This window comes from Homo sapiens, chromosome 21 (genome assembly GCF_000001405.40).
Source record: "Homo sapiens chromosome 21, GRCh38.p14 Primary Assembly".
In the NCBI taxonomy this organism is placed as follows: domain Eukaryota; kingdom Metazoa; phylum Chordata; class Mammalia; order Primates; family Hominidae; genus Homo; species Homo sapiens.
In genome coordinates, this window is record NC_000021.9 from 38851226 (window position 1) to 38862684 (window position 11459).

The 11459-nt window shown below is 46.6% G+C and overlaps 1 long non-coding RNA gene across 1 annotated transcript, besides 1 other annotated feature; it reads left to right on the forward strand.

The window, feature by feature from the left end:
- Window positions 1-6313: 6313 nt before the first annotated feature.
- Window positions 6314-7637, forward strand: LOC101928398 (uncharacterized). The gene is made up of 3 exons (NR_109926.1): window positions 6314-6400; window positions 6551-6730; window positions 6852-7637. It is a non-coding gene; the product is annotated as an uncharacterized LOC101928398 (long non-coding RNA).
- Window positions 10888-10967: a silencer, noted in NCBI's record as "silent region_13317". NCBI's record gives its function as "represses an Ori minimal core promoter by ATAC-STARR-seq in GM12878 lymphoblastoid cells {active_cell/tissue: GM12878}" and the evidence as "EXISTENCE:reporter gene assay evidence [ECO:0000049][PMID:35858748]".

Below are 11459 nucleotides of genomic sequence, written 5' to 3' on the forward strand. Positions count from 1 at the left end.
TGCCTGTTTTCTCTGAGATCCTTTCTGTCTTGTCTTTAGTTTCTGTTTGTCTGTGTTAGAGGGCTTCCTGTCTGGTGATCCTTGGCTATCTATTCATAGTTAAGAGTGAGACACTAAAATATTTATCAGAAACTGGTGTGCTGGGGCAGGATTTGCCTGTGCAGTGAGAGGCGAAGTACATGTTCAGAGGAGCCCACATTGTTAGCATCTGGAGCCTGTCCTCTGGGTGATGTTGTCCTCAGAGGTCATCTGTTTTCCTGCTTGCTGGTTATAGGTTTGGCTATGGCTGCCCTGGAGCAGGGATGGGGAAGGGGCCAGAAGTCCACCATTCAGTGTGCACAATTCATATCCCCACCTCACCCTGCACTGGAGTGCCAGCTGCCTCGATTTCCCAGAGGATCACCCTCGAGTCTCTCGTGGGATCAAGGAGCTAGTGTCTGCCTGAGCAGCAGATCTAACAACCCTTGGACAGCATTCAATAACCCACCTCTTGCCAACCCCATCTCATCCCAACCTTTCAGAGGGCCTGGAGTCTGATTCCGGAGCCTCTCGGGTGGATCCTCAAGGTCTTCTGCCTGCACCTCTGACTGCAGACACTCGGTAGCCAGCTTCCTTCCCTCTGCTAAGTCACCTCCCACCCATGGCTGTGTCTGCTTTCCTCTTCAGACATAACTCACATTGTCATTCATCTTATTTAATCCCCAGTCCTGGGCTCCTCATCCTGTAAGGTTCCCTGTTTTCATGCTTTTACTGACATTTTAGGGGGGGTGGGCAGAAAAGTAATGAAAGTACATGTACCACCGGCCATGTTTAAGCCTCTTCTGCCTGGGCTGGGCATGGTTGTTCACGCCTGTAATCCCAGCACTTTGGGAGTCCGAGGTGAGTGGACCACCTGAGGTCAGGAGTTCAAGACCAGCCTGGCCAACATGGTGAAACCCCGTCTCTACTAAAAAATACAAAAATTAGCTGGGAGTGGTGTTGGGCGCCTTTAATCCCAGCTACTTGGGAGCCTGAGGCATGAAAATCACTTGAACCCGGGAGGCAGAGGTTGCAGTGAGCCGAGATCAGGCCACTGTGCTCCAGCCTGGGTGACAAGAGTGAAATTCCATCACCAAACAAACAAACAAACAAACAAACAAAAAAGCCCCCCAAAAAACAAAGACTCTTCTGCCCATGCCTGTCAGATACTGAAGGAAAAACGCAAAGCACCTTCCAGGAAAGCTGAGTCACAGAGGTGCACAGAGCCAACCCAGGAGCTTCTCTTTCTCCCACAGCATGCACCCATCCCTAGCAAGTCCTGCCAGCTCTGCTCTAAACAGGACCAGGCTCAAAGCTCATCTCTTCACCTCCTTCACTACCTTCCCTACCATTCGTCTGGGATTCCTGCAGGCACCTCTGACTAGACTGCCCTGCTGTGTCCTCTTCAGTCTACTCTCAGAAATTAGACTCAGCTGGAGAGATTCCTGTTAAAACAAAAGTCAGATAATATGACCCCTTCATTCTAAACCTTCCGACAGCTTCCCATTTCACTCATGACAATATCCTAAGGCCTTACCATGAACTGCAGAGTCAACACAATCTTTCCATATCACCTCCTACTCCTGGCCTCTTTGCTTAATCTGCATCAGGCACACTGAACCCCTTGCCATTTCTCACACACACTGAGTGTGTTCCAGCCCCAGGGCCTTTGCACTTGCTGCTCGATCCCCAGATACTCCTATGATCATGTCTTCACTTACTTCCATGCTCAGCTGAAATGTTACCTTATCAGAGAGACCTCCATTGTTTTATCAATCCATTTGCGGCCTGAAAAAGTCTGATTGTGATTCCTGGGTTCCAAACACCTTGATCCTTCAGCTGCTGATATTACAATCAGAAATTAATACTGGTTATTGGTATTCTGACTTCTATTTGGAATCCACGAAGATCCCTAGGCCAACACTTCTCAAGCTTTAACGTGCATGTGAACCAGAAAGATGCTAGCCAGTGCTTCTTAGACTTTTACATACAAAGGAATCACTTTGAGAGCTTGCCAAATGCAGATTAAGACTCAGCAAGTTTGGGACTAGACCAGAGGTTTGCATCTGTAACACGCGCCCAGGTGATGTTGAGCCTGCTGCTCCCCAGCTTACCTTTTGAACGACAAAGTCTAGACCAAGGTGAGGATACTGTCCCTCTCATCCCAGACACACAAGAGAGGCTGGGCCTTCATCCCTCCCATCCCCACCTGTGGGCAAGTTACTCCATCAGCCAGAAGATGGTCAGCTCTTACAGCCTCAGAGGTCTAATGACGCAACAGCTGCAGCACCTGCTCCCTGGGTGCCCGCCTGTGGGGTGAGTCAGCGGCTGGACTGAGATGACAGCTCATGAGCATGTCTCCTGGGACTGTGCCTGTGGCCTGGGCTTGGGCCAGACTCCGTCAGCAACTAAATGCACCTGGAAGGCTCTCCTCAGCTCTGCAAATCCCACCAGCTGCCTGACCTGCTTTCCCCAAGCCCTACCACTCCTCTCGCCTACTCTTAACTGCCTTCGTCACCCCAGTTAGGTCAAATGGCATTCTCTTCAGAATGACCTCTACCATCTGTTGAGACTCTGTTATCTGCCAGGCAGTGTTGCAGGCATTTCCCTTGCATCATTTGATTTAACTCTCATAAGTGTGCTATGGGATGACTGTTATTACCTTCTTTTAAGATGAGGAAATGACACTGCAGTGACAATAACTAATTTGCTCAGGATCACAAAGCTGGGAAGTGATGGAGGTGGGATCCCAGGCTGGCTCTCTGATTCCATCTTGGGCAGGGGACATCACATCTGTGCCACCACCCTACTTGTGGTCTACCAGGCTCCACCACCTCCATTATCTTAGTGGACAGGTGGAGAAGCACCACCTCATCTTTGTGGAGGGAAATGCTGTACTTCAGCTTCCTTCATCCTAACACCCAGGGAAAAGGAAACATCCCAGTCCCATCTCAGCTAGCTTTCCTGTATTACCTAATATAAGATGGGATAATAACTGAGACTCCCAGGTGAAGGTCACAGCCCAGGGACACAGGCTCACTAAAAACCTGAAACCTAATCATTGGACTCTATATAGAATGATTCGCCTCCCCCATTTCTGCCCAGCACATCCGCAGTGCTCTTTTGTAGTAACTGGAACACAATATAAGCTATATGTCAGTGAGCTTGAAGATATATGAATAGAAACTTCTCAAACTGAAAGACAAAGGGAAGAAAGACTGAAAAAAAAATGGAGCACCATGTTTAAAAATGGCAGGACAATTACAAAAGGTGTAACATATATGTAATGGGAATACCAAAAAAGAAGAAAGGGAGAAAAGAACAGAAAAAATATTTGAAGTAATAATGACTGAGAATTTTCCAAAATTAATGAGACACCAAACCACAGATTCAGGAAACTAAAGAGAACACCAAGCAGGATGGATATTTTAAAACGTATACCTAGGTATATAGTATATATTCAAATTGCAGAAAATCAAAGATGCAGAGAAAATAATGAAAGAATTCAGAGGTGGAAAAAAAACCTACCTTACGTATGGAGGATCAAGCATAAGACTACATCAGACTTCTCCTCGAAAACCATGCAAGTAAAAAGAGAGTGTGGAGTGAAATATTTAAAGGGCTGAAAGAAAGAAAACACCACTAGCTATAGATAGAATTCTGTATCCAGTGAAATTATCCTTCAAAAGTGAATGGCAAATACTTTTGCAGAGAAAGAAAAACGGAAGGGGTTTGCTGCCAGTAGGACTTCCTTGAAAAAGAAGGGAAAATGACATAGGTGAAAAACTCAGGTCTACTAAAAGGAATGAAGAGCATTCAAGAAGAAAGAAACGAAGGCTAAAATGAATAATTTCTTTTTCATATTTTATGCTAATCTAACAGTTTATCATTTTCTTCAAGATAATAATAGTAAACATGTATTGGGTGATTATAGTTTATAAATTAGTGAAATGAATGACAAAAATGTTATAAGAGATGAGGAAAAGAATTGTGAATACTCTGTGATAACATATTCTCACTACACATGAAGTGGTATTGTGTTATTTGAAAATGGACTTGGATCAGTTTTAAGTGTATATTGCAAAATCACAGGCAACTACTAAAAAAATTGTAAAGAAGTATAACTGATATATAATGAAAGAGGAAATAAAATGGAATCATATAAAATTCTCAAGGAAAATCAGAAAAGGAGAAAAAAGTGTAAGAGGAAAAAGAAACAGAACAAGGGAAACACATAGAAACAGTAATAAATATGGTTGATATTATATCAAATATATTAATAATTAGTTTATATGTCAATGTTCTAAATATGTGAATTACAAGACAGACGCTAGCTGGGTGGATTAAAAAAACCAGACCTAACTGTATGTTGTCTACAAGAAACTCACTTTAACTATAAAGACACAATTAGAATACAAGTAAAGAGATAGAGATAGATATACCATGTTAATGCTGGAATATCTGTATTTATATCAGACAATGTGGACTACAGAAAAAGTATCAGGGCAAAGGGGCAAGAAGGGCGGCGTGAGCAAGTGGAGCCAGGAGGAATTTTAGGGCAGTGGAACTCTTCTATGCTTTACTGTAATCGTGCGTGCCTGACATTATGCATTTGTCAAAACTGCTAGAACTGAACAACACATGGAGTGAACCCTCACGTAAACTATGGACTTTCATGGATAATAATGTACCAGTACTTTCATCCATTTTAGCAAACGTACTGCAACAATGCAAAATGCTGATAATAATAGGGGACACTGTGGGAGGAGTCAAGGGTCTATGTAATATCTCTGCACAATTTTTCTTTAAACCTATCACTGCTCTAAAAAATAAAGCCCAGTTTTGTTTTGTTTTTAAAAAAAGAGGCCACGTGCAGTGCCTCATGCCTGTAATCCCAACGCTTTGGGAGGCCAAGGCAGGAGGATTGCTTGAGGCCAGGAGTTTCAGACTAGCCTTGGCAACATGGCGAGATCCTATCTCTAGGAAAAAAAAAAAATAGCTTGGCATGGTGGTGCATGCCTGTGGTCCCAGCTATTGGGGAGGCTGAAGTAGGGGGATTGCTTGAGCCCAGGCATTTGAGGCTCCAATGAGATATGATAATGCCACTCCACTCCAGCCTGGGCAACAGAACAAGACTCTGTCTCAAAAAAAAGAGAGAAAGAAAGAAAGAGAGAGAGAAGGAAGGAAGGAAAGAAGGAAATTATCACAACTATCGCTTCAGGCGTTGGCTGACCTAGACCTCCACCCCGGCCCTCACCACCTGGCCAGTCGGAGCCTTGGTCCTCTACATCCATGGGGCCCCTACTGCCTGAGCTAGGCAATCTCTCAAGACCCCAGGGCTGGCCTTGGCGGACAGTTCTCTAATTTCATTCTGGGTAAAGGGACCATGAGCGAGTTGCTCATGGCAAAGTCCCAGAGGATGAACAAGAGGCTGTGAGTCTCGGTCTGCCAGAGGGATTCTAGGAGAGAGAAGTAGCTTAATAAGCAAAAGGTGGCAAATATGAGCCGAAAGAAGGCCCCATCCCCTTGTAGTAGACATGCACTTCTGAAGACGGCTCAGTGGATTGGAGACTGTTCCCAGGGCCACCTTGGGAGGCATGAGGGAAGGAGCTTGGGTCAACCTGTCATACCCAAAGCAGAGTCACCCTCACTCAGGACACTTGCTGAACAGGGACAAACCAGCTTCATAGAAAATCCATGAAATTGTAGACTCCACCAGAAATTTTAGACTCCATCTACTTATTTCTCCTGGATTGTTACATTGAAAATCCAGGTCTCTCAGTTTAGACCTTTGGGGAGACTCTTCAGTCCTCTCCCCATCTGCTAACCTTGACCAAACACAAAGGAGAGAGGGGCTTCAGAGGAGGGTCCCTCGGACCTTGGTGGGCAGGACCCACTTTCCCTGTGCAGAAGGAAACTTGAAATCAGGAGACTGAGCCTCACCCAGGGACAGGCCCCACCACTGTGCCCTGACAGGCCCTTGTGGACAGAAAGGGACAGGGCGTAGCCTCACTTCGACCCTCTGGGTTTGCTGTGGGGCCAGCTGGGCCTGGTGTGGCTGAGCTCCAGAGTGCTGTCAGCCACTCCCAGTTCCCTCATGACCTGGGCAGGGAATATAATATCACCTCTATCTGTGCAGTAAGCACAGCAATGTCAGGGACACTGTTTTTAGAATCTGGCTTGCTCCCCTCCCCCAGCCCAACTGATTATCTGTCCTGGTTGCCAGGCACCTGTTTGCATTAGATACAGAACACTCCGCAGGGTCCCGAGTAGGCAGTTGTGGTCCACAGGCCACTGGCAAACAGAGGCAGAGCCACAGAGGGGCTGCTCGTCCCCAAATGTCTCTCCAGCCGCTCTGAAGCTGCTGCGGGCTGCTGTGCTGGTGATGGCTGAGATCATGAGATGAGCCCCGGGGGTCCCTGGGCATCCCTGGGAGGTCCTGGTTTGTGTTGCTGTGGTGGTCTTAGTCATTAAGAGATGACACTTTATAAAGAGGAAAAGAGCTTAGTAAAAGTGTTGTTCTCACCAGCAGGTCCATGGAGAAGGTGGAACACTGGACTAAAGAGACAGGCTGAGGAAGCCCTCAAGTCACCCCTGATGGAGGCCAGACCTTGAATGTTACAATCCCTCTGCTTATCGACCCTTAATAAAAATCTGAGCAGGTCTTCTCTGCAGGACACAGGAGGCTTTCTGGAAAAAAAAACATGGAAAAGTGAGTCTCCTAAGCGTTCCCAAGTGATTGATGCAGGACACATCTTAAAAGGATGAAAGGAGGATGGAGGAAAACTTCAGAAGGAAATAACACAGTTTGAATGAAAACACCTATTTTGCAGAAAGTCCGGAAGTGCTCGACCAAGAGATCGCGAGATGGGAGCAGAGAGTACAGGAAAGGAAGGAGGAGAAAGAAAGGCTGGAAACCTTTGAATGCACAAAAAAAACAGGTCATGAAAGATACCACGAGCCAACTAAAATCTCTGGCTGAAAATGTGCTGGACACCATGCAGTTGGAAGATTTCACTAGGGACCGCAGTGATGAGGGGAACTTGGAAGCAGAGCTAAAGAGGAAAGCAGAAAATGAAGAAACCACCCCCTTAAAAATTAAGTAAATTTTTTTAAAGTTATGTGCATACATTCTGTATATACAGAAAAGATATCTAAATTGTATGCACGCAGAAGGAGCATTGCCCCCACAAGGAACAGTTCATGCTAAATGGTGCAGATGAAGAGACTTTGACAAAGGAAGTTTCCTGAGCTGTGGGCAGGGATGAGAGCTCAGACAAATGATGGGAAGCCTCCCAGATGCCAAGGTTTCCCACCCCCAGGTTTCAAGGGAGGAGAGAGGAAGTGATGTCATCTGAGCCCAGTGAGGCCCTGTCAAGGGACCAGGGAAAACTGCCCCCACTTTTTGCTCCCATCCTCTCATTGACTGCAGGTGCACAGGCAGCTGCCTGAAAGAGGGCCTGCGAAGTGCAAGCCAGAGGAGTTGGCCTCCATGGCACAGAGCAGGCAGAAAACAAATTTGGAGAATGACCAGCACTCTTGGGTTTATTTGACTGAAAGTGCTTGTTTTATTGCATTCACTCACATCCATTTATTTAATAAATATCCATGGAGTGTCTATCATGTCTTCTGCACTGTTCTAGGGGCTTGGGATACAGAGATGAAAAATGCCAACCCGATGAGGCCTGCAGACCACTAGAACTTACATTTTAGTGATGGGCAAGGTCAGGTAATAAAAGACAAGCAAGTGATGGGAATATGTGCTCTGCAGACATTTCCAATCCAGTGATGGGAGAACAGGGGCTATGGGAGAGCACCCAGGAGGCAACATTTAACCTGAGATCTAAAAGTAAGAAGGAGGACCCTAGGAGGGTCAGGGGCAGAATATTGCAGGTAGAAGGTACAGGTAGGATAAGACCAGGAGAACTCTGCCTCTGGGTCCAGGGGAAGCAAAGTAAAGTGGGGTTGTGGGGAGTGTGCAGAGCCCTGTGCACAGATGTGACATCCAGTGCAGTGTGATCACCCAGGGAAGGGTCTTACCCCTCGAGAGGTGGGGTTGCAGGGAAGGGGGCATGGAGGAATGTGTATGCCACCTTGACCTTTTTGGTTGTGGAGAGAACGGAATAAGAATTGGGGGAGAGGCAGGATTTCAGCGAGGGGTGTCACAGGGGTCTGCTGTTGGGGTGGTCATCACAAGATGAATCAAGGACAGATCGGGCTGTGTTTGGATGGTTGTGAGGATCAGAGAGGAGGAATGAAAGACACCCTTGGGTGCTTTCTTATAACCCTGTGATGTTTGTCACTACTTTAAGAAAGCCTTAGTAAAATCTCTGCAGGAGAGCCCCTGACAAAAAGTCAGAAAGGCTGTAGTGTATTAATTACCCCAGGGAAAGCCTGCTTTTCCCTAGCATAGAGTGTGGTGTGCCGCATGTCTCTCTTGAACTTGCATTTGGTTCCTGCACTACTCCCACAACAAGGACGGTAGGGGCGGGTACAGGTGGGGCTCCAGTGAAGGGTGGGGGTTCTCAGGTATGATGCGTTTACAGCCTGCATTGAGGCTATATGATGCCCCTCGTTTGGAGATTCCAAGAGGAATTTTAAGTTTATTCCACCAGAGTGCACCACCATTAAATAAGAAAGACTCATGAGCTATAAGTGCTCATGAATGTGGTGGGTGTACATGCTGGGGCTGTGCCTCGCTCTTTAATTGTCCCAGCAGCCGGCTGTGGTGGGTAGGAAGATCAGGGCGGGCTCTCTGGAGGAGGCGGCTCCTGAGCTGAACACTGAAGGATGAGTAGGAGCTATCTCCAGTGCTTTTCAAAATTGAAGGGGCAGATGAATCACTTGGAGAGCTTGTTAGTAAGCAGATTCTGATTCATCAGGCAGGGGCCTGAGCCTTGCTTTGCTCCCAGGTGATGCCTATGCTGATGAGATACGAAAGAGGGAGGCTCTTTAGATCATTATAGGGCAGGAGTCAAGGAAAGATGAAGGGACAGGGAAGGAAAGATGAAGGGACAGGGAAGGAAAGATTTCTGGCCAGGACAAGGCACAGGCAAAGACACGAGGGTGCACACAGCTTGGTCTAGGGGAACAGGAGAGTTTGTGTTCTGGATCCAGGGACTCAGGAGGGAGGGCAGGACCTGGCAGCAGAACAGATCCCCAACCCACACAGATGGGCTCTTCCTGCTCATCCTCTCCAACGCCCCTATCTACCATGGGTGATCTTTAGCCTCAGAACACTTTATTTTTCTGAGGAGTACAAAGGACCACAGACTGGAAGTCACACTGGGGAAGCAGCCATGGAGAACGCACTCTGCCTAAACACAGCTTGTACAAGGAATAGCCTGAAGACAAGGTCAAAGGCTTCAAATCATGAACCAACTCACGAGCTCCGGACAAGCTCATTTGTCCCATGAGCAGGATGTCTGAGGGCTCAGTGAATCTTAGTGAACACATCAAATACAAATACACCTTATGTCTAAGAATCTGATGACAAATGAGTATTTTTATCCTCTTTGGGGTAAAATAATGTGTATTCTGCTGTGTTCTTGACTGAAGAGGTATATATATACATATAATTATATATACATATGTATACATACACACATATATATAATTGTGTGTGTGTATAGGCACATTATACAATGCAACACAACACCTATATGCTTTTTTATTTCATTCTACAAATATCCTCAGTGAACTCCAACCACCACACGAGGTACAAGGTTCAAGAAAAGATGCTACATAGGTTGCATGTACTTTTTCAAGGGTTCGAACACGCTACTTAGACTTCTATTTTTTCATTTATTCATTCAACAGAGATTTATTAAGCCCCTTCTATGTGCCAGGCACCAGGCAGATTTGGGAGATACTACTGTGAACAAGACAGACAAGGTCCTGGCTTCAAAGAGCTGAACTTGACTGAGAGGCGGGTGGTGACTGAGGCCTGGCGGATGCAGCGGCTCCCTGCCAAGATCCCTCTCCAGTTCAGTTTCCCAGGAGCCAGGGAGGGAGCTCGCCTGCTGCACAGCATCGTCAGGGAAACTTGTAATTACAGCATTTATTAGGACAGATTAGAGAGCCAAAAGAATCACATTGTTAAAGGAACAATGAAATTAAAAAAGAGGTTAAGCAAAAACCACAGGAGAAAAACCCATGCATTCGCCAGCTATTACAGGCTCACAAGATAGCAGTTACATGATTGAAATCTCCTCCTTAGCCTCTGATCTGCTTAGGCATTTTTAGCTGGAAGAGACCAATCATATCTCTAGTCTTGAGCCTGGGGCCGTCTTCTCCGGCTGTGGGTACAGTTGGGAGGCAGCTTTGCAGAGGCCAAGGGCCGTGGTTTGACCTTGGGCAAATGACTTAATCTCCAGGAGCCTCAGTTTACTTATCTGTAATAATTCCTGCCTTGCAGGCTGGCCATACGGCCATACGACTGAGAAATCATAAGTGTGTTGCGACCAGCACATACATTCTCAAAGAGAGGTAACTGCCAGTCAGTGGTAGACCAAGCCATGTTAGAGCCTGCAGCAAAAGGCAAGTTCAGAAATACAGATCCTCTTTATTTAAAATGTTGTTATTTTGTCATCAAGGAATTTATTGCATTAATTTTGATTATATATATAGCATTAAAACAGTATCTATCTTGGCTGGGCGAGGTGGCTCAGGCCTTTAATCCCAACACTTTGGGAAGCCAACGCAGGAGGATTGCTTGCAGCCGGGAATTCAAGACCAACATAGGGGCTCTCATAGTCCCCTCCTCCCCCATGAGATAGTCATCATCATCCTCATTTTACAGGTGAGGACATGGAGGCACCGAGACATTAAGTAACTTGAAGACCACACAGCTAAGCAGCCAGAGTTCCAATCCAGGCTACAGAAGGTCAGAGCCTGTGTTCTTAACCACCAGGAAACACATGGCTTTAGACTTTTACCACAGACACGTGCGCCCAATATGCAAACCAGCCAACCCACAAAAACTGCTTTGCATTTTTAAGCAGTTGCATTGAAGCTTACAGAGTGTTCCAGTGCACTAGGAGCCCCACTGACCCATCCCGGGCTGGCCAGGTGGGCTCTTCTCATAACTGTGTGTCTGCGGCATCTGACCCTGCTTGTATCTTCTCCTGGAGGACTTTGAGATAAGACTTCATCTGGGGACACTGAGAGTCCAATGAATGGAGACACTAGGACACCCCCGACTGGAAAAGACAGACGGATGTGCACACTGTCACCCTCTACCTCCTTCCACCACAGACCCAAGGTGGCACACAGGAAGGTGCACACTGCACCAAAAAACAGAAAACTGGAAATGTGAATGCACAAGGGGTCGGGGACAAGAGGACCCAGGAGGAGGCTGGGCCAAGAGGGGGTTAGAAAGTACCCTGTGGGCCATAGGACTTCAACAGTTCACACAGTTGAGTCCCTAACTGAGGCCAAGC